At 54.0% G+C, this 27,332-nt stretch overlaps 1 protein-coding gene and 1 long non-coding RNA gene across 12 annotated transcripts in view, besides 4 other annotated features; one reads left to right on the top strand and one right to left on the bottom strand.

Annotated features, from left to right (window-relative positions):
• The window catches only part of SH3PXD2A (SH3 and PX domains 2A), a 261,550-nt gene that overhangs the window by 65,216 nt on the left and 169,002 nt on the right, over positions 1-27,332 (bottom strand). For 5 of the 11 annotated variants that reach the window (NM_014631.3, NM_001394015.1, NM_001394022.1 and 2 more), the window contains 2 exons: positions 9,366-9,410; positions 1,741-1,872 (listed from right to left, as the gene is read on the bottom strand). In NM_014631.3, coding sequence (NP_055446.2) covers positions 1,741-1,872; positions 9,366-9,410 — 177 coding nt within the window. Of the gene's footprint in view, positions 1-1,740; positions 2,463-9,365; positions 9,497-18,838; positions 18,974-27,332 lie in introns of those variants that run through there. The other 6 variants (NM_001394020.1, NM_001394021.1, NM_001394018.1 and 3 more) reach the window with 4 other exon arrangements.
• LOC124902495 (uncharacterized) lies at positions 918-6,909 on the top strand. Its single transcript, XR_007062276.1, has 2 exons — positions 918-1,895; positions 6,705-6,909. It is a non-coding gene; the product is annotated as an uncharacterized LOC124902495 (long non-coding RNA).
• Positions 19,136-19,195: an enhancer, noted in NCBI's record as "active region_3967". NCBI's record gives its function as "activates an Ori minimal core promoter by ATAC-STARR-seq in GM12878 lymphoblastoid cells {active_cell/tissue: GM12878}" and the evidence as "EXISTENCE:reporter gene assay evidence [ECO:0000049][PMID:35858748]".
• Positions 19,206-19,375: an enhancer, noted in NCBI's record as "active region_3968". NCBI's record gives its function as "activates an Ori minimal core promoter by ATAC-STARR-seq in GM12878 lymphoblastoid cells {active_cell/tissue: GM12878}" and the evidence as "EXISTENCE:reporter gene assay evidence [ECO:0000049][PMID:35858748]".
• Positions 22,739-23,519: an enhancer, noted in NCBI's record as "H3K4me1 hESC enhancer chr10:105441739-105442519 (GRCh37/hg19 assembly coordinates)". NCBI's record gives its function as "activates a minimal SCP1, AML or CMV promoter by ChIP-STARR-seq in primed H9 embryonic stem cells {active_cell/tissue: H9 hESC(primed)}" and the evidence as "EXISTENCE:reporter gene assay evidence [ECO:0000049][PMID:30033119]".
• Positions 24,679-24,748: an enhancer, noted in NCBI's record as "active region_3969". NCBI's record gives its function as "activates an Ori minimal core promoter by ATAC-STARR-seq in GM12878 lymphoblastoid cells {active_cell/tissue: GM12878}" and the evidence as "EXISTENCE:reporter gene assay evidence [ECO:0000049][PMID:35858748]".

Below are 27,332 nucleotides of genomic sequence, written 5' to 3' on the forward strand. Positions count from 1 at the left end.
GGCCAGTGGCTGGCAGCCCCCAAAGACATGGGGGCTCACTACCTCCTGCTGCTCAAGGGTTAAACGGCTATGGTGTGACAGGCAGGCGTGGTGGGAGAACCATTGGTTTGCTCAGAACTTCCCTAGCCAGAAGTTCTGAGAAGAACCAACCACCTTTCCTGATGCAAGCTCTACAACAAACATCTCCCTCGCCTGAGGTCTCCCATGTCACCATTAGAGATCCATTGCTTTGGGTCTTCAGGTACTGGGGGTTTCCAGAGCCAGACCCCCATGACATTGCTAGCTTACTTTGCGGGCAGGGACGTGGCACCATGAGCATGACAAAGGCTGAGGACAAAGCTGCCCAGGGAGGAGCCCAGTGTGGGCACCTGGGACGAAAGGTTGAGGCCTCACAGCAGGGACATGGCTCTGCCAGGGAGGACTGTCACTGCTGACCACCTTGGTGATGACTCCAGGCACAAGGGCAGACACAGTCTGACCTGAGAGGGGAGCAGGCACTTCGAAGACCTCAGAGCAGGAGGGCCACAAGTCAGACCCTATACGCATATCACAGCCCTGTTCTCTGGAGCCACTGGTGGCAGGAGCCTGCACCCACCTCCCCCAGGAGGCCCACTGGGATTTCCTTAGCATCTCCACAGCTCCTGGCCACCAGGAGGCACAGGGTTCTGCTTTGGATCTCAGGAGACTCCCTTCCCCGCAACCTCCCTGTGTCTCGATTCCTGTCTCTACGGAGCAGGCACTGCTGTCCTATGCTTTGCCTTTCCTTTCCGGGTTTAAACACTGGCAAGGCATAGAGTGGGACTAGGAGAGGAGAACAGGCTCCTCCCCTCTGGAAGTATCCACCAAACACCACTCAGAGAGGCTCTGAGCACAGGGGCCTTCCCTGCAGCAAACCGAAACTGAAACAAAACACCCCAGAAACCCATGCAAGCCCTGGGAGGCTGTGGGCTGATGGATGTCCTGGGCTCGAGTCCCAGCCCTGGCCCTGTTGGGGGCCGAACAAGCCTGGACTGACAGGCTTGGGCTCTCCTCTCTTCACCTGCCATGACTCCTGCTGCCAGGGACACCAAGGTACCTTTGCCCCCTCCGTGGCACCCTGAGAACCAGCTGCCCCGGGCAGCTGTCAGTACGGCCCCTGTCAGTGCCGGACCTTGCCTGGCCCAGGCCTGGCTGCATCCCCCTCACTGCGCTTGCTTTCCAGGTCCTGGGGCCTCCAGCTCGGCAGGGGGCAGTCAGATCCCCAACCAGACCCCAACCAACGCCCGCAGGCCTGGCCCTTCCACAAACTTGCCAGCGACCCGGGGACCCTGGACCCCATGGTGACAGCAGGGCCTGCCTTCCCCACCAGCTGGCTGGGCTGTCCTGCCTGGACCCTGGACCCTGGCTCAGAACGTGGTTGTTGCTGGGCATCCCTGAGCTGAGAGCACCCTGCCCCACGGGCCTCCGAGGGCACGGGGACCCCAGCAGGGCTGGCCATTTATTCCCGCGCTGTGCCTGAAACGTGCAATTAACACAGGCTGGTTAATTACCCCGAGCAAGGAGACATTCTTCCACCACCAGGCAAACTGCTGGCCTGCAGCCCAAACCAACAGGGGGAAACTTCAGCCGCCTCGGCCCTCTCTCTGCCAGATGGAAATAACGTATAGCTGCAGCGGTGGGGGAGGAGGGAGGAACAAAAACCAGCTCGGCCCGGGGGCCAGACCGGAACCCCAGTGGACGGCCATTGGCCAGGGCACTCACCGCTCTCGTTCTTCTCGATGACATCCACCACCTCCCCGGCCTGGAGGCTCAGCTCCGAGTTCTCCTGCTTCTTATAGTTGGACACCACCACGTACTGTTCCAGGATCATGGGCTCGGCGGTGGCGTCGGCACCTGGCGAGGGCAGAAAGCACGCGGTGAGCCAGCGGCCAGCCATGGCCCCGCGGCCAGGGCGCCCCCTGTCCATCGGCCTCCTCGGGGGTGGCTGCTCTGTCGCCAGCGCCGCTCCCAGGGGCAGCCCGCAGCCGGGGCTCGCAGCTCACAGGGCGCCAAGGACAGGCCATATAGCAAGGCCCCAGACCGGCCCGCTGCACCGCGGGGTCCGGGGGACATGGGGAGCCAGGGGGCCGGGGAGGGGACGGGCAGGAGGAGGAGGAAAGAGAGAGGCAGAGCGGAGGCGGAGGCCAAGGAAGCTCAGAAAGAAGCCTTGTGCTGCGATGAGTTAGTCACAGCCCGGCATGAGGGAGCCTGCGGGGAGGCCTGGGGCCGACGGGGTCTCTCCGGCCTCCCTCTCGGGCCGGCAGGGGCATCGGGGAGGGCGGCGAGCCAGCGGGTGGGCGGCCCATGAGGGCTGAGGCCAGAGGCAAAGGAAAGGCAAGCAGGAGGCTCCAGCCTCTGCCCCCAACCCCTGCAAACCCGAGAGAAAAGGCAGCCCTGCTCCCTCGGGCGGGAGAGGGAGAGGAGAGAGCGGGAGAGAGCTTCTCCACGGCCCAGGCCCAGGCGAGGAGTCAAGAGGGTTTGAGGCCGCCAATCACTGGGGTTTACTCGCAACCCTTAAATAGAAACACATGAGACCCGTCGAATGAGGAGCCGGGGGTGGAGGCAGGGGAGGGGGAGGAGGCCTAGACTGTTTACTTGAAACCCAAGAAGAAAGTCCCCGCGCCAGCGGCTGGCGAGCCCAGCCCGCCCCCCGCCAACTTTTCCTCAAGTTCGCTCCGTTCCTGCCCCTCGGGCTCACCCAGGCGCTGCCACCGAGCCCAGGCCGGGTACAGTCGGACCAGCCTCAGGCCTGCCCCCAGCCCTGCTTCCAGAGAGGGCCCTCTGGCTGCAGAGACTGACTCAGTTTCTCTCTGCCTTTCAGTGCCGGGGCTTGTGGTCAGGCCCCGGCAGTTTGAGGGGCTTGAGGGGTCAAAAGCTGGGTGCAGCAGAGGGAGGGCAGGTGGACTCCCAGGAGCAAGCAGCTTCTCTGTCCTCCTCAGCCACTGGACCAGCACGACATTTGCTAAGCAGGCACCAGGCAGGAAGGCAGACAGGCTGGGTGCCCTTTTAGCTTCCTAGCTGAGTGGCACTGGATGCTGCTTAAACCTCTGCACTTCAACTCTTCCCATCACCATTATTGGCGGGGGGGGGGGCGGGGGGGGATAAGACACTTAAAATATGATGTGCTTTTTTTTTTTTTTTTTTTTTTTTGAGACGGAGTCTCGCTCTGTCGCCCAGGCCGGACTGCGGACTGCAGTGGCGCAATCTCAGCTCACTGCAAGCTCCGCTTCCCGGGTTCACGCCATTCTCCTGCCTCAGCCTCCCGAGTAGCTGGGACTACAGGCGCCCGCCACCGCGCCCGGCTAATTTTTTGTATTTTTAGTAGAGACGGGGTTTCACCTTGTTAGCCAGGATGGTCTCGATCTCCTGACCTCATGATCCACCCGCCTCGGCCTCCCAAAGTGCTGGGATTACAGGCGTGAGCCACCGCGCCCGGCCTATGATGTGCTTTTAGCTAGGAGTGAAAAGGATCCACTAGCCAGAAATGGACTAGTCACCTCCTACAGGAAGCCTTCTCAGACCACCCCCAGCCCAAAGGGAATTCCTAGTATACTTTTGTTTTTTTTGAGACAGGGTCTTTGTTGCCCAGGCTGGAATGCAGTGGTGCAATCATGGCTTACTGCAGCCTTGACCTCCTGGATTCAAGCAATCCTCCCACCTCAGCCTCCCATGTAGCTGGGACCAAAGGCACACACCACCATACCCGGCTAATTTTTTTATGTTTTGTAGAGCTGAGGTCTCACTTTGTTGCCCAGGCTGGTCTTGAACTCCTGGGCTCAAGTGATCCTCCCGCCTCAGTCTCTCAAAGTGCTGGGATTATAGGCATAGGCCACTGCGACTGGCATAAACTATATGTCTGCCAATCTCCTTGAAGGCTAGGGGGCTTCATGTCACTAGCCTGGCTACAAAAATTGCTGAGGGTCTCCAAGTTCCACACAGCCCCCTTGGTGCCTCAGCCTATAGCCACATTCCCCACACGCCTGAGTTTGACTTGGCAAATGTGATGTGCCAGGCACATTAACCGCCCCATTTCATGCCCACAACATCCCCCTTATCTTCCATTTCACAAAAGACTAACCAGAGGCCCCTCTACAGCAGGCAAGAGACGACTCTAGCTCCCACAGCTGCTATGAAGAGCATCACATTCATTCAGTATGATTTTGTTCAGGCCCAAGCCCATCTGTCTTTCCATTGCAGAATAACTGCCTCTGATTTGTTTCCATCAGTCTGGTTCTTCTAGCACAGTAATCCTCAACTTGGAAGCACAGAATCACCCAGGGAGCTTTTTAAAAGTACTGATGCTGGGCTCCAGAGAGACAGGTTTCTTTGGTCTGGGACTCAGGCATGAGTAGTTTTTGGACATCCCCCCTGTGTCCCTATGGTGCTTGTGTGCACCCAGGTGCAAGAAGCACTACTTAGATCTTTGGGTCCTTCTGTAGGGGGAGGCTCCCTCCAACCTAGGGCAGACGGCAATGGCCACAGAACTCTAGGAAATCCCAAAGGGAGGCCTCCTTCCAGGGAAAGAAACCCACTGCCCCCCGGCAGTTTTCTCCCATGAGGTGTGGGCCCTGCAGGCCCATCTCAGCCCTTTGGAGAAGCAGAAGGGACCCTGCACAGCTGAGTGTGCCACATACATTCGCACGTGCACAGTCCCGAGCAGCCCTGCTAAAGCCGGGATTGTATTTCAGGCAGAAATGCAACCAACAGCCGGGCAGTAGGGCCTGCCCCGCCTCTGTACTTAGGCATGCCAGCTTCTGTGCCTGCCCCTGCCAGCTGGGCAGAGGCAGCGCCGGGTGCTGCGCTGACGGACTACCTCCCACTGTGCCCCTAGGGGAACAGCAGTGCCTGTTCCATGCCTGGAGCCTCTGTGGCCAACAGCACTTCTTAAGCGCACCCGGCACAAAAAGGGCCATCCCTGCCCTACGAGAAATGGGGCCTCCTTTCCCAGTGTGGGGGCACTGGATGAGAAGAGTGGGAAAGAAAGGCTCCAGCAACAAACAAGAATAGAGAGTTCTGTGGCAGGTTAGAGAGCCCGCAAGGCCTGAGTATGGCCAGATCATAGCAATAGTGACAGCAAGCCTTCATCAGTGCTGACTTGGAGGCATCCAACAGCATCGAGCTGCCTCGTCCAATCCTCAGAGCAACCCCATGCAGTAGGTCCTGTGATGGCCCCGTTTCACGCATGGGCAAAGCAAGCCTCATGAGGGTAAGTGAATTCTCTAAGGTCACACAGCTGGGATTGAACCCAAGCCCACCTGACACCACTGCCTATGATCTTAACTTCTGCACTGTATGTGGCCTATAATGGGCCACCGGCGCCTGGTCCCTAGGGAAGGGCCCATTACATCCCAGGTACCTGGGACACAGCGGCTGCTTAATAAAGACTAGAGTATGGGTTTCTTTCTCTCTCTTTTTTTTTTTTTTGAGACGGAGTCTTGCTCTGTCGCCCAGGTTGGAGTGCAGTGGCAAAATCTCGGCTCACTGCAACCTCCGCCCCCCAGGTTCAAGCAATTCTCCAGCCTCAGCCTCCCGAGTAGCTGGGATTACAGGTGCCCACCACCATACCTGGCTAAATTTTTTTTTGTATTTTTTAGTAGAGATGGAGTTTCACCATGTTGGCTAGGCTGGCCTTGAACTCCTGACCTTAAGTGATCTGCCCGCCTTGGCCTCCCAAAGTGCTGGGATTATAGGCATAAGCCACCACGCCTGGCCTAGAGTATGGGTTTCTAGTTGACTCTTGCCACCTCTACTGACCAGACCACAGTGCCTGTTAGGTGGCAGGCACTCAATAAGTGTGAAATGAACCAGTGAAACGCGTGAACTGGCAGAAAGATGAACAGAGGGACTCATTGGTTTGTGGTGTCAATATGAATACCTTGACTCTGATATGGGAATATGGGAAAATGAGCCAAACTCGAAGGGAGAAAGGGGAGATGGGGAAACTGAGGTAAGGAGGAGAAAGAAGCCCCAGCTTTGTGGCCAGAAGATGCCTGGAGGACGAGCAGGAGGTGCTGGGGAGTGGACAGACATCAGCTCATTTTAATCCAAGCCAAGAAAATCTGAGGCAGGGTTTCAAAGCAGAGTTAAATCCACACCCCCACACCCCTTCCCCCCACCACTTTCCTGGAAAATTGGCCTGACCTTCCTGAAGGCTGACTCTCTGGGACACAGGTAGAAAAGTTAAGGAAATATTCTCTAGGCATTGGAAAGCACAGACAGGCTATGGCCTCTCTCAGGAGCTGCTCCAAAGGCTGTGGGATGGACACACGGACACTCTGTCCTTCTGGCTGCCCTTCCCTCCCGTTGCACAGGCAGGCTCCCAGCTCTTCCCTCTGGCAGCTGCCTCTTAGGGTGTTCCCTGGCCAGGGCAGCCGGGCGGGCGGGAGCTGCGAGCAGGTATCCAGATGAGAAACCACTTGCAGGCCAGGCAGGCAGTGGGCGGTGATGTCATCCCACAGAGGCCACTCTGGATCCCCTCTCAGCCAAGGCCTGCAGAACTAGGGGCTGGAGGAGTCTGCCTGAGTGGGGAGGGGGCAGTGGAGGGAGCCTGGTGTCTTTAGATGAGGAGTGCTTGGCAGGAGCATGGAGAAGGGGTGTACCTCTTCTAGACAGCAGAGCCTCTCCTGGGTTGGAAGGGGCCTTTGCATGAGTCTGATCCAGAGATGGACCCTTGTGCTTTATTACAGAGCCCCTGGCTGGACCTGCTGGGGTCCCAGGGGTCCCCTGGACCCCTGCCCCACCCTTGCCTCACATCTGCATTCCTTCAACTACCACCTGGATGGAACCCTGGCTGCCAACTTAAACTTCTCAACTGGGCTTTTGCCAAGTCAGTCCCATGCTCCAACGCCTTCCACGGCTCCCTCTTGCCTATAAAGGACAAATTCAAGCCCAGTCTTTCTTGCCAATCTGAGCTCCCCAAGTTCCTTGATCCCCGTCCCCCACACCACCATTCAATACATCATTCATGATTCAACACATGTATCGAGCACCCACTAGGCGCCAACACCCAACACCACTGCTCCATGCAGCTTCTTACTTTCCAAGTCTGTGCTCTAGCTGCTGCCCCCTGCTGGAATGCTTTCCCTTCTCTCTACCAATCCCAGTTTCCCAATTCTCCCCAAGCATCTCTGTCCTCCAGGAGGCTCCTGATCACTCTTGTTCCCTCTTTTCTGTTCCCTCCTGGACTTTATGTTGGGCATTGCTCCCCAACCAAAGTATGTGCCTTGGACAAGAGTCTCTCGACACTCCAGGACTGGTGCCTCAGGACATGACATGGGACATAGTAATTACCTGAAATTCATGATGGAAATGCTTAGAATTAGAGTCCAAAGGTCTGAGGTCCAGTCCTGCTTTGCCCTTACTAGCTCTGAGATCCTGGGGAGGACACGTAACCTCTCTTGAGCTTTAGTGTCATCTGGAAACAGGAACAATAGCAGTTCCTACCTCATGGGAATTGTTCTGAGCACGGAATGAAGTGACGGGGCTTCAAGTCCTATGGAAATCATAGATGGTCATTTTAAAGCAAGTGGAGGGAATGGGAGATCTGAGGAGCAGCAAAGCTGTTGGTTCCTTCGTGGGCTCACCAGCAGGCAGCTCGGTGCCAGGGCTGCAGGTGCCAGGAGAAGGGTGGGGAAGGGAGGCCGGGGGCTGTGTCCCTGCAACATGCCCCTCCCAGACCCTACCTTCAGCAGGTAACGGGTACTTGCCAGCTGGATTGAGAGGCAGCTCAGAGCCCCCTGGGCCTACTCTGGGGGGATGCCAGGCTAAGCAACCTGAGGCCCCTGATCTATAAGGATCTCCAACATCAGCCCTTACCTCTGAGTTTCCTGTCTCATATCTCAAAGAACCCTCCAACCCTCCAGATGGAGAAACCAAGGCCCAGAGAGACTCTGGCCCTGGACTCGCAGTCTGGCTGGGTTTTCCCCCAGCCCACACTGCCTCCCCTGGGCCTCTCACTCCAAACAGCTGGGATCATCTTGAGACGTGGTTAAGTGTCCTCCCCAGGGTCACAGAGCTAGTAAGGCCCTGTGCTGGCCTCCACCCCAGGCTCCCCACGACTCCCCAACCCTGGGCATCCTACAAAAGTCCCTCTAGCCCCTTATAACTGGTTCCTCCCAGGCTGGACTGGGACTGCTGGCCCCTCCGCTATACGTTTGGTGAATAAAATGTATTGCTGTGGGCCAAGTGGGCTCTGGCTCACTGGCGTGTGGAGAGGGGAAAAAGGGACAGGAGCCCAGTGATTAGCTCAGGCCCAGGCCCTCGTCACAGGAAACTCCAGAAGGAGATTGCAACGCCCTCCGACCCACTGCCTTCTCTTCTCCTCTGGACTCCTCCCAACACGTTTACCTCCCATTCCCCGCCCACAGCTGCAGCAGTAGGGGCTGGGCTTTGGGCTCTAAACACTGGGGCTGGCCCAGCCCCACCACCCCACTCAGCTCCCACCCTTCTGCTTTGTCCCCTATTCCCCCAGCCTGAACCTCTGCTCTCAGGTTTGGGGCTAGAGGGTCAGGGTGTGTAACAGCCTCAAAAATGGAGGGGTCCCATAGAAGACCCTTCTGGAAATTCCATCCCTCCTCCGACCATCTCCATCCAGGAGCTGAGAACCCTGCTGTCCGGGATTCTCTGCCATGGTCCCATAAGACTAAAGGTTGAAGGCAAGTCCCTGACCCCTGCCCAGCTCCTCCCAGACACAGGCCAAGGCCCTAGTCCCTGAGGGCCATCTCAGCCAGGCAGGCCAAGCTCTGGATTGCTGGGCATGGGGGCTGTGACCCACCCTCAGTCACAGTCACAGAACTGCCCCACCCCCTGCCCCAAATCTGCAGCTCCCCAGTGAGATCACTGGAAATGAGGGTTGGGTGTCAGGGCCCGCTGCTCTCTGCCTCAGTTTACCTGCCTAAAGTGAGATGAACCATCTTTGGCTGGGCTCTCTCACTGAGACGGCCAATTGAGATAAGGCTGAAGATGGCGAAAGCCCCACCACTGCCTGAGCACTTTCTGTGTGCCAGGCTCCCCACGAGGTGGGATGGCTTCCCCTTAGGGAGGTTACACACCCCACCCAAGGCAGCATGGCCAGGACGTAGCAGAGCTGGAATTCAGACCCACACACCCTGGGTCCAGAGCACACGTGCTTACACGCTGAGCTACGTGGTCATCACTCAGCAAAGGGCCCCATGTTCAGATCTGACTGGGGAGGCAGAGGGCACAGCAAGTGGCAGACCCCCTGCCATGCTGGCAAACAGCTGCTGCACATCACAGGGAAGCATGCGCAGGGCCTGCAGGCACCGGCTCCCGCGCACACGGACCTGGAACACACATGCTCACACACATGCATGCACGCTGGGCAGTACCTGTCACGTCCTTCTTGGGCGACTCAGCCCAGCTGGACAGCCACACTTCCGAGTCCCCGAGAGCAAGCGGCAGCAGGAGAGGAGAACCAGAGAGAGAGAACGGTTAGGCAGGCAGGAGGTCCACAGTGAGTGGCTGCAGGCGCCGCGCTCGGCCAGCCGCGGGCGGAAGGCGGAGGAGGGAGGAGAGTGATTTCCTGGCCCTGGGCTGGCTGTTGGGCGTGGGCCCGTGTGATTACAGAGGCGCTGGGACACAGCCGGCTGGGACAGGGATAATGAGGTGTCCGCCGAAATGCAGGACTCCTTCGGAGCACAGAGAATCCCACACGATCCTCCCTGGAACGGGGCCCGTGGTTATCACAGCCCTGTACAAGGCAGCCTGACCCTTCCTTTCTGGCCATGTGGGTGGCTGGGTCCCACGGGGCCTGATGGTTGCAAGGATCCTCAAAGGCCAGCGGGCTCAGTGGCCTGGACCCAGAACCTCAAATGTCAGGGTTGGAGCACCCAGGACCCATCTCTAGGCCTGGGGGCACCACACCCACTAGACCCTGATGTGTCATCCAGCCCTTACTGCAGCCCCACCCACTGAGGAAGACAGATCGGCCCCAGCAGAGCAGAGGGAGCATCGTTTTAGGGAGTCTTGCTCCCCAACCCCAAAGCAGAAGGACAGGGACCTTGAGTGACCAGAAGAGATGAGGGCTCTACTCCAGGCTCAGACAGTGGTGTCCAATCTGGGCCTCAGTTTCCTCACCTGTGAAATGGGATTTAGAGTTGTCCTCCTGCCAAGAGGAAGGAGCAAAATCAAAGCAGCATAAAGAACTTATGATTGAGATGTGATACCATTAACATCTGAATGAGGCAGAAAGCTCTTGGTCTAATCAATGGTTTGCGTATTTCTAGAATAGAAGAGAAGAGGGCCACCATGTCAAAAGCATTGATGCAGTCGAACTACAGTGACTCATTTAGTCCCCATGGCAACCCCATCAAGTGGGTAGGCATGTTTAGCCCCATTTTACCGGGGAGGACTCTCAGACATGGAACCAGGTCTGGTGGCATCCCCAGGCTGCTGCTTTCTCTGCTGGGCTGCTCATCACCTCCAAAGGAGCAGAGCACTGGCTGCAGTGGGGACAATTAAAAGGCAACGCTGAATTGCAGGTCTGAGAGACAAACTCTCGCACTGCCCACCAGGCGCTTGCCAGGAGAGCAGCCTGACCCATTCAGAGAGTACTGATAAACAGCAGCAAACACTTATACAGCATTTCCCCTTTGCCAAGCATCCTGCTGAGCACTTTGCATATAGTAACTGGTATTTTTCCCAACAAACCTACAACGATGAGTACTATTATCCCCTCCATTTTGCAGATGAAGAAGCTGAACCAGAGAGGTTAAATAACTTGCCCAAGATCACACAGCTAGTACAGCAGTGTCCATCTCTTGCAGGGACACACACCTCAGCTAATCAGAGCTTGATGCTGCTCTCTATTTAAAGCACCTGACTCTTTCCCTCACTCAGCAAGCCACCTTCCAATTGCAGGTTGGCTCCCGGTGTAGAACTAGAAAGCCTGGCCCCCTTCTGGTTCTCATTGTAAATTAGCAGAGTGGGGCTTTGGTGGAGCGGTCTAGCAAGGCCTTTGGGGTCTGACTGCCTGGGTTCAAATATAGGCTCTGCTCCTTTGAAGAAGTGACTTACCCTCTCTGAGCCTGTTCCTGAACTTGTAAAAATCTGGATGATGTGATATACTTACCTTCTGGGTTGCTGTGAGAATTAAATTAGATAATATGTAATAGTGCCCAGTGCAGTGCCTACTACATAGTCAGTGCTTGATAATGGTTAGCCGCCACTGGCAGTAACTCCCATGAACGTGGTTAGCATAAGCCTGCCTCCCTGGGTTCAATCAGCTCTGGGGACACCCAGAAAATCATGCCCCCGGCCTGCAAGGACAAGAACTAGACAGTGTTCAATACTGGATGCACCAAGAAAAAGCTGGCACCCTGTTAGAGATACTGCCCCACAGTCACTCTCAGACACCGGGTTATCTGGAATGGAAGGTAGAGGGACTCCAGGGGACCTCACCCAGAGACAAACAGGGCAAAATCTGAGGTTACAGCCCCTCCCCAGGTTCAGCAGTCAGCAGCCTCCTTGGGGAGCAGGAGCAATGCTGGCCCAGCTTTCAAGCCCTGGTAGGGCTGAGACAAGGTAGACACACCAAGGGCCTCCACAAGGATTTAAGCTGGTATGGCCAAGGAGGTCTGGGTTCAGAATGTGGGTGTTGCTGCCTGGTGCCCACATCTTGCTGAAGTTTCAACTCCCTGCTGCTGCATCCCAGAGATGTGGCCAAGTGGGCTGCCTGCTGCAAGGCCCTGAAATGCCCCTGAACAGGCCTAGCACCAGGCCCATCCCAGCGCCATCTGGCCCTCTCTCCATGCCACTCTCCACTTCAGTTTGCTTGACCACTTTGTCTACTTTGGGTTCCTTTTGGGTTCTTCATAAGGAGACCTGAAAGCACTAACCTCTTTCAGTGAGCCAAGGAAAGCTGTTTTGCCTGGGCCTGGAGAACCCAAGAAGACCTGCTTTGCTGGACAGGTGCTTGCAAAGGGCCAGAGAATAAACACTGTAGGCTTTGGGGGCCAGATGGTCTCTGTTGAGACTACTCAACTCTATTCTTATAGTACAAAAGCAGCCACAGGCAATACATAAAAGAATGAGTGGGCTGTGTTCCAATAAAACTTTATTTATAAAACGAAAAGGGGGCCGGACATGGCCTGTGAGCAGACAACCGGAGCTCATGCCTGTCCCCTTCAGTCCCCATAAGCAGGCCTTCCCGTATCTCTCCGTAAAGGAAAATGGGAAGCAGACCAGAAGTAAGCCTGTCTTTTTAAAAAGAAACCTCTCTCTAAAACATGATTTATTTCCCAGTCCCCTGACCTGCAGAATTAATCCAGTTCTGCTGCTCCCACTCAAAGTCCCTCCCCCTTCTCTCTAGCCCACCCTAGCAAGCTCTCGAGGGGTGGGAAGGACCCCTTCTCCCTCATTACAATGAACAGAGGAGAGCCCCTGGCTCACAAACCCTGGCCCTCCAGCCAGGAGGCAGACAAGGCTGTTGGCTAAGGGCTGGGAAGACGGGGAGTTGGAGAGACAGAGGGACAGGGGTGAAGGAGCAGTGGGGGGGAGGCGGGGGGCGCAGCCAAGTGAGCAGCTGTGACTGACATGAACCAACTGCTTCCTGCCTTCCTCCTGTCCCTGCCTTCATCTCCTCTGGTGATCCAGAACCAACGGCCCTACAGAGCAGGGTCACTGGCCTGCTAGAAAGTAAAGGGCATCAGACTGGAAACCTGCACCCTGGCTCTTGCTGAGAACACACTGTGTGGCCCTGGGCAAGTGGCTTAAAGACTCTGGGCTTTGGCTGGGCGGTGGCTCACCCTGTAATCCCAGCACTTTGGAGGCCGAGGTGGGTGGATCACTGGAGGTTAGGAGTTCGAGACCAGCCTGGCCAACATGGCGAAACTCCGTCTCTACTGAAAATACAAAAATTAGCCGGGCATGATGGTGAGCATCTGTAATCCCAGCTACTCGGAAGGCTGAGGCATGAGAATCGCTTTAACCCGGGAGGCAGAAGGTGCAGTGAACCAAGATCGTGCCACTGCACTCCAGCCTGGGCCACAGAGTGAGACTCTGTCTAAATAAATAAATAAATACTCCGGGCCTCAGTGCTCACATCTGTACAGTTAAGCATTTGGGCCTATTGCTCTTGTCTGATGGCCTGCCTGAGGCAGTTGTCTGACGTTCTAGACCTTCCCAGCAGAAAACTGGTAGTCTCCATAACACAAGGGGACCACAGCGGAAATGAATCTTTCCAGAGAAACGGACTGTCCTTCCTGGGAAAACCACTTGAATGCAGGCTCAATTGAGGCAACCCGAGTCCAAAATAGCGGATGATTCAGGAGGCACAGAGGGCAGAGATCTGGAGCAAGAATAAAAGCAACCTTGGTTCTTGTGCTGGCTTTGCCACTTAGCTCGCTGACTCTGGGATAGCTAGGAAATCTCTGAACATCTGTTCCTTCTTCTGTAAACGGGGAAAAAACACCTGCCCTGCCTTCTTTGCAGGGTTAAGACTGAAATGGCCTAATGCCTGGGAAAGGTTTTGGAGGGCTGGGAATTAGGCCTCTGGACACAAAGAGGAGTAAGTGGTAGGGACAAAGCTGAAAGCAAAAGCAGTAGGTTCCTGGAAATGGCAGGTATGCCATGTCCCTCCCTCACACAGCCCATAGTGCTCATGTCCCTGCCATGGCTGTCCGTCCTGGCATTGCTCGCAATACCAGCAAGAAGCCAGGCCAGGAGAAAACCAGGGGCCTGGAGATTCCGGCCAAATACAGGGACCCAAAGGTACTTAGATGCTGAACCTGATTCTTGACAGGCCCAGGTGATGCTGAGAAACCAAAGAACAACACTGCAGGTGCCCCTGACTTTAAGGACAACCCACCCCATCCAGCACACATACATCCAAGGACTTCATAGGAACAACTGGATAGGCCTAGGTTAGGAGAGGGTCCTTGGCTGCTCTGAAGATGGTGAGTATCTCAACTGTTCCCAGTGAATTACACGTCAAACTTCTTCTTCCACTCTTTCTCCCCATCTCACTACTGCACTCGACTGGTCTTAAAAATAATAATAATAAAGGCTGGGCATGGTGGCTCGCGTCTGTAATCCCAGCACTTTGGGAGACCACTGTGGGAGGATTGCTTAAGCCCAGGAGTTGGAGACCAGCCTGGGCAACATAGTGAGACCCCATGTCTACAAAAAATAAAAATCTAGCCAGGCGTGGTGGTGCCTACCTGTGGTCCCAGCTACTCTGGAGGCTGAAGTGGGAGGATTGCTTGAGCCCAGGGAGGTCGAGGCTGCAGTGAGGCATGATCACGCCACTGCAATCCAGCCTGAGCAACAGAGTGAGACCCTGTCTCAAAATAAATAAGTATAAAATAATTTTTAAAAGGGCACTTATAGATTCATAGTAAGGCTTCTTTTAACCTTGAGTAACTCCAGAGCAGTGAGAATTGGGTTGAATTTATCCAAATCTAGTCTGAAACCATGTTTCCAGGAATGCTTCCCTGGTGTAAAGCAAGTTCCATCCATCCAAACTAATAAATCCAGAGTGGGCCATGAGCCCAGGTGGGAGAGACCAGAATGAGTACAGCCAACAGCGAAAACTCCACGGAGAATGAAAGAGAACCACAGGCTCAGGGGACCAGGGCAGGGTCACTAGCCTTGTCAGTTTCTTTCCACATCCCCACCCTGGGCTCTGGGGAGGGGAGGGGTGACAGGCCAGGGGCCCGATGGAATGAACACCTCCCTGTCTTCTCCATGCCCTTCCATCCTTCAGTATCTCTACACACTGGAGCACTCAAGCCCTCTCTCTCTTTGGGAATACTGTTCTTACCTCATTGCAGTTTTGAACTGGTTTCTAAATAACTGCTGCAGTTTAAGCCTTTCCTCTCCCATACAACTAAACTTTGTACAGGGCTAGATTTCTTAGGTTTCCTGCAGACTCCACGTTTCTTTTCCTTTCTGGTTAGGAAACCAGGAAATTCGGCCACCACTTTCAGGCCATCAAATAATTAGGGCCTAAGAGATGCTAGTCCTATTATTCAGTAGTAACAGTAATTGTCATTGTTGCCATGAACAGGGCACTTCCTTGTGGTAGGCACTACTGTATAGGCACACAGCAACTCATATCTTTACGACAGCCCAACAGGGTTATCGGTCCTTTACAAAGTAGTTTGGCCTATGTGATACTCACTTTAGAGGACCTGAAACAGGTTGTCATGCTCAGAGCAGCAGAAGCTGAGGCGTAACAGTGAAAGCCACGTGAATGTCATCTGGGAAAAACACGGATGGCCAATTCGTAATTCTTTAAAAGTCTTAAAAAACATGGCACCAGGCTGGGCGCGGTGGCTCACGCCTGTAATCCTAGTGCTTTGGGAGGCTAAGGCAGGCAGATCAGGAGGTCAGGAGTTTGAGACCAGCCTGGCCAACATGGTGAAACCCCGTCTCTACTAAAAATACAAAAATTAGCCAGGCGTGGTGGTGTATGCCTGTAATCCCAGCTACTCAGGAGGCTGAGGCAGGAAAATTGCTTGAACCTGGGAAGTGGAGCTTGCAGTGAGCTGAGATCACGCCACCGCACTCCAGCCTGGACAACAGAGCAAGGCTCTGTCTCTTAAAAACAAACAAACAAACAAACAAACAAAACAAAATAAAACAAAACAAAAAAACAAAAACAAACACCAATTAAGATGACAGAAAACAAATAGTTCAGGTATGACTTCCAATCCAAGCACACCTGGGTGGAAGTCTGGTCCAGGGGGCAGTTGTTTAGTGTGTGAGCTGCTTCTGATGTGGGCAACTCTACAAAAGCTTGTTCCAGGATAAGCAGCAGCCAGCTGGTCAGAGATACCCATGGCATGAAAAAAGAGTGCCCTTGCACTGGAGGGCGAGGGGTGAATACTGTTATTGCAGCAGCTCGGACCCCAGGCCTGCTCCTACACTCAGAGCCTCCAAGGCAGAGCTGGCTTCGTGGAGGTGTGATCTGGGCAGTGGCCTAGGGTCCCAGGTTTAGAAGGGTCCCTGCAGCTGATTTAATGCTCTTCTGTCAGGGGTTTCATCAATAATTTATGAATGAGAGAGTCTTCATTTTCATTTTGCAGTGGATCCTGCAAATTATGTAGCTAGCTATGCCCAAGACCTGAGGGTTTGGGGCCACTGAGCTAAATAAACAGAAGTACTCAAGAAGAAATCTAGTAGAGCTGAATTTCTGATGGATATCTTCTTAAAGACAGAAAGCAAATCCCAAATGGAAAGCCAGGCCATTGTTTGTCTCCAGGTCCCCTCTCTCTGCTACATCTTTGGCTTCTTGGTGGTACCCCCACAGGCTGGAAGGACTATTTAGGGTCTCAGAACCAGAGAGGAGAAGAGACTTGCCTAAGATCACACAGCAAATAAGTCGTAGGGCTGGAGCTAGAATAATTATACCAGTTTCCACTTACTTAACATTCATGCTAGGTGCTGTGCTAAACATTTATGAGCATTTTCTTGTTTAATCTTCACAACAGTCTGTAATTTACAGATGAGGAAAGTGAGGCACAGAAAAGTTAAGGCTCTGGCCTTGTGCGGTGGCTCACGCCTGTAACCTTAGCACTTTGGGAGGCTGAGGTGGGTGGATCATCTGAGGTCAGGAGTTCGAGACCAGCCTGTCCAACATGTTAAACCCCATCTCTACTAAATATAAAATTAGCCAGGCATAGTGGTGCATGCCTGTAATCTCAGCTACTTGGGCGGCTGAGGCAGGAGAATTGCTTGAATCCGGGAGGCGGAGGTTGCAGTGAGCCGAGATCGCGCCATTGCACTCCAGCCTGGGCAACAAGAGCGAAACTCCGTCTCGGGGGAAAAAAAAAAGAAAAGTTAAGGTTCTTTCCCAAGGCCCTACAGCAAGAAGTGATGGCATCAGACTTAAGCCCAGGCAGGCTGGCCAGGAATTGGGAACAAAGGGTCCTCATGGGGGATGTCATTTTCTGATCCTCCCTGGCCACTGGCCAAGGCTTTCTTTATTTCTGCTGCTTTTCGTAAATGCAGCAAGAAAGGACTTGCCTCATTCCCTGGAATCCAGAACACGTGTGGGGGCAGCCCAACCCAGGGTAGGAATGCACTATTGACCCTCTGGCCCTGGGTTATGCAGTCAAGGAGCAGTTTCCCTGCTCAGGCGGGGGATGGGGTGCAGTGGGGGCTGGGCCTGGAGACCCTCCACAGCCCCTTAGGGACTAAGTCCAAGGGTGCCTGCCTAGGCCAAGCCTGGGGCCAGAAGGGTCAGCCCAGCCTAAGTGGGTGTGGACGGAGAAGCCAAGGATGCCCTAGGAGCACTGAGGCTGCCTAGAAGGGGCTGCCCTGGCAGGGAGTAGCAGGTAGTTCTGTCACCTCCCTCCACCCTGCTGAGAAGACCGGAAGCTTCCTGGTTAAAGATAGGTGCTGGGTTAGTGAGAGGTGCCGTGGGTGGACAGAGGGGTGCTGGCCAGGGAGGCTGGCAGGTTCAGAGCCTCTCTGATCCCAGCAGCTGCTGCCCAACCCATGGCAGCCCCTTGGGTTGCGGCCTCCCCCTCAGTTCTCAGGTTCTCACCTCTCCCCACCCCAGGGCATTTGTGTGCAGAGAAGAGACAAACTCAAGTTTGTTCTGAGTTCCAGGATCCCAGCCACCTCCCTCCCTGGGGTGGCCTGCCTTGGTGGTCCTCCCTCACTTACTGGGAGATCCTCCCTCCAATTCCCCCACCCTCCAGCTCCCCCAGAAGCCCGAGCCAAAGCCAGTATTTGCGTTCACACAGAGAAGGAGCAGCAGAGAGGCTGGGCAGTGGGATGAAGTCAGCAGTCGCTGGTCTCCAGCCCCGAGTCTTGCAATCCGCCTCCTCCCTGGCTCAGTCTCCCTGAGAGCCGCGAGTGAGTGATGGAGTCAATAGCAACGGACTCAGGACAGACATTCCCCTCCCCGGACAACAAAATGTGGAATGTCTCCTTCTCTCCAGACTGGACTCTTGCTATCGGATTATCAATGAATCAACCGCCAACTATTTCGGGAGCATCAACGGCCCCTGGTTGAGACCATCTGACTCTCCACCCTCTGTCTCAAAGCATCAGACACACAACCACAGACACCGTCCCCAGCATTCCTGTCTGCTTCAGGAGTCATGTAGGTTTGGGGAGACAGGCTGGGTCCCGGAAGGTCTGAGGGAGGAGACGGCAGGGCTGAGTCCTGGAGGCCTTGAAGGTATAACTGGACCCATCTTTGGGGTAGGGCTCACGGAGCCTCAGGGACATCTGGCTGGACGCTGCCATCCACTGGTGCAAGACAGGGGTGGGGATGGGGGGTCAGGGGTAGGAGGAGAATTCATTCCTGGACTGAGGTTGAGGACACCCACTTTTCAAGGTTTTCTGTCTCCCTTATCATGCCCTGGGCAGGATCTTTGTTCACTGACTGTTCCCACTGGCTCCAAACGTCTGGTTAGGGCTATAGTCCTAGCAAGCGCATAGCGCATAGTAGGTGCTTATTAAAGATTTGTTATGAGTCTCTTCAATCAGACCTTTAGTTCCTTCAAGGCCTTATCCCTGTCAGCACCCCACAACACCTTGAATGCAGGAGGTGCCCAATTAACCCTCAGTGGCTGATGGAAAGATGAATACTCACTGCTCTCAAGCCCAAGGGTGCATGGAAAACTGAGGCCCGGCTACCCCACTGCCCCAGGACCCTCTTGATACCCACGGCTCTGCCCTCTCTAGTCCAGGCTTGGCCTCCGGAACCACATACAGGCATACAGGCCTGGCTTGTGCTGGGCACAGTGGCTCCCGTGCAGGCCTCCGAGCCTGCAGAACACCCTGAAGGGCGTTGGCTCCCAGCATCTGCTTTAATGCCCTTCAAAGAGATTTTTAGAAAAATTACCCCTAAGCAGTACAGTCTCTGGCAGGATGGACGCTACAGGAAACAGGAGCCGGAGCAGGAACGACCCGTTCATGTGTAATGTCTGGGGGGAGCAGGGCTTGGTGCAGCCTCCCATGGTGTTTGCTGGGAGCCCCTGAGCCTTTCCTTACCCCATCCCTCCCCTCCTCTGCGTGGGTCCAGACCAATCCCCTGAGCGCTGAGATGCCACGTAAACAGAGCTGTGCATGCACGCAGTGCGCACGCACACACCACTGCTTGGGAAATCCCCACATCTGGCTCTCACGTGACCCAGCTATGCCCAGAAGGCTGCAGCTGAGAGGGCCTGGAAGATGAGAGGGTCGGGAGTGTGCGGCTCTCTGGGGAGCCCCGAGTTAACCCTTCAGCACCACAGCTCGGCGGCTCTGTCTAATGCTAAGCTTCCAGAGAGGGGAGAAGCCAGGAAGGAGGCCTGGTGCTCAGTGCTCAGCCCTGGCCCTGGTTGCCTTTCCCAGCGTGGGAAGGTTGGGACACTTCTCTGGGCCTCACTGGTCTTGACCTGGGATGTGAAAGGGCTGCTCTTTCCCTGTCCTGTCAATCCTGGTCAATCATCAGCCTCTCGGGAGTTCTCACTGGAGGGAGATTCCTTCCCTGATGGAGGATATTTCATGTGCATCTCCTAGTGTCAGGAACCTGGCTGCAGGACAGTGATCCTGGAATCACAAGGAGTCAAGATTCATGGCCTCCTTTGTCTCCCAGGAAACGGCTGGGCTCTTCCTAACAATAAGGAAAAGGTGGGAGGTGGCTCCTGGGCCAACACATATTAATTAGAACATTTTAAACTTCAATAATTTTATTGAACAAGTAGCAATCTGCAATAGCTCCTCTGAAACAGAACCACACAGTAGGTGCTCCAGGGCTATGAAAGAGATGCCCCACATGGAAGACGTGGCACATGGGGACAGTGGCTCCTACCACTGAACAGATGTCCTCTGCACAGGTACTGTCCTCTTCACCCAGCTGACCCATTTAGAAAGCTCAGTAAATTAGGCTCAGCAGCCATGCAGGTCTGTGTGCCTTGCTCAGAGACCCCTACATGGCGTGGCCCCAGCCCCGTGCAGCACTTGTGACACTGTTTTAAAACTGCTGTTTCCTTGCCCACCTCCCCCATCTGGCCAGGAGTCCTCTGAGGACAAGGACCTCATTGTCTCCATCTTGGTATCACTGAGGTTCCATCACAAGACCTGTCAGATGTGCAGTAGACAAACCTAGAAGGCAGGCACAGCCAGAGCCAGAAAAGCCAGCTTTAGTCTGGAAGGAGCCACCTCATCCCAGAAGGAAGACCTAGTACCAGTGTCCATTCAGAAACTTGCTTCCTATCCACTAGCCTTCAAGGGTACCCTCCCTGCGCCCCAGGAGACAGCTGCCTAGTGTCCACTGAGCCATGGGCTTGGAGCAGAAGGAGCGAGCCAAGTCATGGAGGAAGGGTGGGGGAGAGGGGAGTTCCCCTGACCAGAACCCTGTGGCCAAATGCAAATGAGCAACTCAGAGCCAGCAGGCTCCAGGACTGTGTATGGCAGGAGCTCACAGGCCAGAAGAACTTGTCCCACCCTGACAGATCTGAAATGAGGGATGTTAAAATCTGCATATTTGCAAGGTCCCCCTGGGGGGGCCATTGCCAACATACAAAGACAGTCTTAGTTTGGTCTGTTGTCACCAGCCTGTCATCACTGCTTAGCATAGCAAGGATCTGACCCTCCAGCTGGGAAGTTATGTACCCAGACCTGATCCTCTTCCAACACTCAAAGAGCCTAAGGTGCTCCAGGGCTGAGCTGAGGACACCCTTACTCACAGGGATCCAGAAGCAGTGACAAGGGGGAGGATGGTGAAGAGATGGCCAGCTCTGCCTTCTCTTTTATTTTATTTATTTATTTATTTTTTGAGATAGAGTCTCGCTCTGTCACCCAGGCTGGAGTGCAATGGCGCCATCTCTGCTCACTGCAACCTCTGCCTCCCCGGTTCAAGTGATTCTCCTGCCTCAGCCTCCTGAGTAACTGGGATTACAGGCGCCCACCACGACACCAAGCTAATTTTTGTATTTTTGTAGAGACAGGGTTTCACCATGTTGGCCAGGCTGGTCTCAAACTCCTGACCTCAAGTAATCCGCCCAACTCGGCCTCCCAAAGTGCTGGGATTACAGGCGTGAGCTACCACACCCGGCCTGCCTTCTTTATGTTTTATTTTGAGATAGGGTCTTGCTCTATTGCCCAGGCTGGAGTGCAGTGGTGCGATCACCATTCACTGCAGCTTTAACCTCCTGGGCTCAACAATCCTTCTTTGCCCTCCCGAGTAGCTGAAACCACAGGTGTGTGCCACCACACTGGACTAATTTTTTATTTTTGTAGAGAAGGGGTCTCACTAGGTTGCCCAGGCTGGTCTCAAGCTCCTGGGCTCAAGTGATCCTCCCACCTCAGGTTCCCAAAGTGCTGGGATTACAGGCGTGAACCACCACACCCAGCAAACTCTGTTTCTGAGCACAAGGAAGCAAAGGGACTTTCTAACATGACCCAGTTGTCTTGGTGCAAGACTTTATTCTAACAATAAATAACAAAATACATTTTCAAGCTGGCTGCTTGGGCCACACATGGCAATGATGAAATCCAGGGGGCAAGGCAGAAAGAAGAGAGTCAGGGAAAAGCATGATTTTCCTGTAAACTTCTAAGTTTTATGGAAACTCAGGAAAAAAATATTTTTTTCTTTCACACTTCGAAACAGACCAATTCTAAAAATGCCACGTGCCGACTAAGTTACACACACCACTTTTCTGTTTCTAAAAGTAACTTTAGATTAGAAAAAGGTGCTAAAACAATAAGTAATGCACATTTCCCCCATGTCTTTGTTTTTCCGCCGGCTTTGTCATCACTGGAAAGGTTGCCTCTTCTGTCACGTGTCTATAAACCAAACGCTGAAGTGAGGAACCAGTGACTTTCTGGCCGTGGGCCACGGTGGGAAACATTTCTTTGCTGGACCACAATTTGGGTATTTCCTCCCCCAGCAACAAAACCTTCTGGAAATGAAAGGCAGATGGTGTCTCTCATCAGGTCAGGGCTGGGTAGGCCCCTCAGATAGCCATTCTCCAAGACTCCAAATGCTGGGCTGTGTTTCAGGGGTAAGAGACTTGGGAGTCCTGTCCTCCATTCCTGCCCCCGTAGCCCACCCTCCCATCTCAGGAGACAACTGAATGTTCTTCAAGGAGCAGTCCCATCCAGGCATCATCCAGGCACCATTCATCTTGGGGATGCCAATCCCCCTGCCATCTTGCTGCCTGTCTACCCTGAACATGGCCATCAACCCACATGGATGACCCATCAAAGACGCAACCCTAGCTTGATTTCAGAAGCCCTGGGAAGCCTGTCAAAAATGCAGATTGGCTGGGTGCAGTGGCTCACGCCTATAATCCCAGCACTCTGGGGGGCCAAGGCAGGAGGATCTGCCTGGCCAACATGGTGTAACCCTGTCTCTACTAAAAATACAAAAATTAGCCAGGTGTTGTGGAGGGTACCTGTAGTCCCAGCTACTCAGGAGGCTGAGGCGGGAGAATCACTTGAACCCAAGAGGCAGAGGTTGCAGTGAGCCAAGATCGCACTACCACACTCCAGCCTGGGTGACAGAGTGAGACTCCATCACACACACACACGCGCCCGCGCGCGCGCGCGCACACACACAAAATGCAGATCGGCCAGATGCGGTGGCTCATATCTATAATCCAGCACTTTGGGAGGCCGAGGTGGGTGGACTGCTTGAGGAGCTTGGGAGTTTGAGACCAGCCTGGGCAATATGGTGAAACCCTGTCTCTTAAGAAAATGAAAAAATGCAGATACCTGGGCGTCACTCCAGACACGCTGATTCAGTAGGTCTGGGCAGGCCCTGGGAATCTGTATTTCAATGAGCAGACTCAAGATTCTGCAGTTCACTTTTGCCCATGCAGTTCCCTTTTGGACCAACTTCCTATTTTCCTAGCAGGAGAAACTGGGTGATAGGAGTGAGGGGGCAGAGGCAGCTGTGCAAGCAGGGCTGAGGGAATTGAGGCTTCCAACTAGCTGCCTCCTTCTGGGGATTCCAGGATCCGGGGAGCGCTTGCCACGCCCCTGCCCCCTCCCCGCTCCGCCTTGCTCTGTGTGTCCAGGCCAATTGGGCAGTGGGGCTCAGCCACCTCGAGCCAGGGAGCGTGGCGCAGACACACACGTGAGCAGCACTCACTTTCTCCATCGCATCACCGCCACGTGGGCTGGCCGCAGAGTTGCCAAATCAATCAGGCTCCTTTCATTTCCAATTAGATGGCTTTGAACTCCAAGGGTAAAATCAGGCTGAGGACCCAGAGCCATGCAAATAAAAACTGTTTAAAAACACCAGCCCAGAGGCTGGCTGCGGTGGCTCATGCCTGTAATCGCAGCACTTTGAGAGGCCGAAGAGGGTGGATCACAAGGTCAGGAGTTCAAGACCAGCTTGGCCAACATGGTGAAATCCCATCTCTACTAAAAATACAAAAAATTAGCCAGGCATGGTGGCATGCATCTGTAATCCCAGCTATTCAGGAGGCGGAGGCAGGAGAATTGCTTGAACCTGGGAGGCAGAGGTTGCAGTGAGCCGAGATCGTGCCATTGCACTCCGGCCTGGGCAACAGAGCCAGATTCCGTCTCAAAAAAAAAAAAAACAAAACAAACCACGAGCCTGGGTAAGATGTGCCAGAAGCTGACGCCTTCAAAAGACACGCTCACTTTTGAAATGGGCCATTGGAGGGTGGCAGGAAGATCTTTGCCACATTCTCTAAGTAGCCTGGGCCTTTCTCACTGAGGATGGGTAGCTCAGGAGGACAAGAACGCCTCGGAAATTGCTTTAAAAGGTCTTGCTTATGATACACTCTCCATGACTTCCTTTCCAGACTCATCTCCTGCTCTACCCTCGCTCCTGCCGGGATGATGGGCCCCTCTCCTTCCCTCAGACTTTTCAAGCTCATGCCAGGCCAGGTGTGGTGGCTCACGTCTGTAATCCCAACACTTTAGGAGGCTGAGGCAGGAGGATCACTTGAGGCCTGGAATTCAACACCAGCCTGGGCAACAAAGCGAGACCCTGTTTCTACCAAATAAATAAACAAATCAGTAATAAAAAATAAAGGCTAGAAATGGTGGCTCACACCTGTAATCCTAGCATTCTGGGAGGCTGAGGCGGGTGGACTGCCTGAGCTCAGGAGTTCAAGACGACCCTGGGCAACACAGAGAAACCCCATCTCTACTAAAATACAAAAAAATTAGCCAGGCATGGTGGCGGGTGCCTGTAGTCCCAGCTACTTGGGAGGCTGAGGCACGAGAGCTGAGAAGCGGAGGTTGCAGTAAATCGAGATTGGGCTACTGCACTCTAGCCTGGGTGACAGAGCAAGACTGTCTCCTACATAAATAAATAAGCCAGGCATGGTGGCACACCAGTGGTTCCACCTACTTGGGAGGATGAGGTGGGAAGATCGCTTGAGCCCAGGAATTTAAGGCCACAGTGAGCCCTGATCGCACCACTGCACTCCAGCCTGGGCCATTAAGTAAGACCCCATGTTAAAAATTAACACCAGAAAAACCCACAACAACAACAAAAAAGCAAAAACTCATTCCAGCTCCACATCCTTACTCATGCCTGGCTGTCCCTCCTGCAGGGTGCCCTACCCACACCCTTCAGCCCATCACAATCTCCTCTGTCCTTCAGGGCCATCTCCAGCCTCTCCCACAATGGCCAGCCACCCCTCCTTCCACCTTGCAGATCCCAAGCCATCCTGCCTAGTATTAATGAATCCCTGAAAAGGTCCCACCTTCTCAGTTGAGCTGTGCACTCCATGGGGCCAGGAGCCAACAAACTATTAAGAGAAGTGAAAGCCTCACAAAGCCTGCGCTCTGGAGGGAGGAGGCCTGCTGCCACTGCCTCGTCTCCCTCCATCTCCCTCTGCTGCTGGTTGGGCAGGGCAGGCCCAGGGAGGGCCAGAGAGCCCAGCTCTGCTAGTGCCCTGCTGAGGTATTTACCTTGCGGGGAAGGGAGGTACCAGAGACCTCACAGACCGGCTTCCTGTGCTTCAGGACAGCCCTCCTCACACTTCCACCTGACAGCCCTCCTCACACTTCCACCTGGTTCCAGGGCTTGGTGGGAGTGCTGACCAGCAGAAGACCAGGTTCTGCCCACCCCATACCCTGGGCAAGTGGCCATCCCTCTCTTAAAAGCTTCCTCTATAAAAGGAGGAGAATAGAGGAACTTTTTCAGGTAGACTAACCCTTTTTTTTTTTGAGACGGAATCTCACTCTGTCACCCAGGCTGGAGTGCAGTGGCACCATCTTGGCTCACTGCAAACTCCGCCCCCTGGGTTCAAGTGATTCTCCTGCCTCAGCCTCCCGAGTAGCTGGGATTACAGGTGCGGGCCACCACATCCGGCTAATTTTTCGTATTTTTAGTAGAGACGAGGTTTCATCATGTCGGTCTTGAACTCCTGATCTCAGGAGATCCAACTGCCTCGGTCTTCCAAAGTGCTAGGATTACAGGAGCGAGCCACCACGCCCGGCCATAGACTAACCCTTAATAGTGGCCAGAACTTATGGGCGGGTCTTGCTCTAAGCAAATTCACTTTATTAAAAACCAAACTCATAAAAAGGAAAATTAGGCTGTGTGCTGCGGTTCACACCTGTAATCCCAGCACTTTGGGAGGCCGAGGCAGGATAGTCACTTGATCCTAGGAGTTCAAGACCACCCTGGGCAACATAGCGAGACCCTGTCTCTACAAAAACTAACTGGACGTGGTGGTGCATGTCTGTAGTCCCAACTACTCAGAAGGCTGAGGTGAGAGGATTGCTTGAAGCCAGGAGGTCAAGTCTGCAGTGAGCTGTGGTTGTGCCACCACACTCCAGTCTGAACGACAGAGCCTGGGGCCCTGTCTCAAAAAAGCAAAAACAAAAACAAAAACAAAAAAAAGGCCAGTCATGGTGGTTCACACCTGTAATCCCAGCACTTTGGGAGGCCAAGGTGGGTGGATCACCTGGGGTCAGGAGTTCAAGACCAGCCTAGCCAACATGGTGAAATCCCATCTCTACTAAAAATACAAAAAATTAGCTGGGCATGGTGGCGGACGCCTATAATTCCATCTACTTGGGAGGCTGAGGCAGGAGAATCACTTGAACCCAGGAGGTGGAGGTTGCAGTGAGCTGAGATTGTGCCACTGCACTCCAGCCCAGGCAAACAGCAAAACTCTGTCTCAAAAAAAAAAAAAAAAAAAAAAAAAGAGAATCCTGTGTCTGGCTGACCTGGGGCAAGTTCCTTAACTTCCCTTTCCTGGTCTATAAAATGGGACAAGACCACCTACCCTGGTTGTTGCAGGGAGGCTCCTGGCAATGATGAGATAGTGGACACCCCACCTTCCCCCTGTCTGATTGAGGAGTCACTCCGGAGAAAGGGCAAAAGCTGAAACCAGCGCTCTCTCCTGTTTGAGACGAACCCCTCCGGTGCTGCCTCCTATTCATAGTAAAAGCTGCTTCACCCTTAGTGCTTCCTCTAGGCCAGGCACGGTGCTGGAGTTATCACTTCAGGAACTTTCACTCAATCCTCAACCCCATGAAAAAAACCTGATTATCCCTATTTTACAGGTGAAGAAATGAGCCATAGAGAAGGACTTGCCCAAGATCACACAGCAGGCAGAGCCGGGACATGAAACTAAGCATTCTGGCTCCAGAGTCCACGTTTTTAACTCAACGGAATACTCAGCAATGGCTGAGTCTACGCCCTGTCGTCCCCTCCTGGGTCTCACAGAATGGAAATAAATGTCTCAACTCAAAGACCAACTTCTCCCCTTCTTTCTTAATCTATCAATAATTAAAACGGCAATAACAAATGGCAGAGCTGGGGTTCAAACCCTGTCTTCCTGTTGCCAAAACCTAAACTGTCAACCCCAGGCAACACTGCTTCTCTGCAGTGAAACTACATTAATGCTGATCTCATGAACTCAGCTAATAATACAGTTTTATGATCACTGAGATAGAAGTGGGGCTGAGCTCACCACTTTTCCAAGGAGAAGAATAAAGTAAACAGGATTTCATGAGGAACATCAACACTTGCCTAAGAGAACAAGCTTGTAACAACACTCTTGAGCAACCTCATCTGCATGTAAACGAGCTGGAGCTTCCACAGGACTCCTGGGTTGGATGAACCCTCAGGCTCTCCTGACAACAGCCCCAGGGCCCTGACAATCCCGAGGCTCCGTGGCCACCTGTGCCCCCTAGTGGCGCATCTCAGAACTTCCCGGCTAGGTGCCCTGGCGAAATGCAGCTTTTTAGAGAACTGGGTGAGAGGCATGAGATCTTTGCAGGTCTCAAGAGAACCCCTTGCTCTGGGGAGTCTGCTCCAGCCCCACTGGGGCTCCTGGAGCAGTGCCCACCTTGGGGAAGCAACAACAGCTAACAACAACAGGCCCTTCCTACTGCCAGGCACAGCACAAAAC

The sequence above is a fragment of the Homo sapiens genome, chromosome 10 (assembly GCF_000001405.40).
Source record: "Homo sapiens chromosome 10, GRCh38.p14 Primary Assembly".
Classification (NCBI taxonomy): Eukaryota; Metazoa; Chordata; class Mammalia; order Primates; family Hominidae; genus Homo; species Homo sapiens.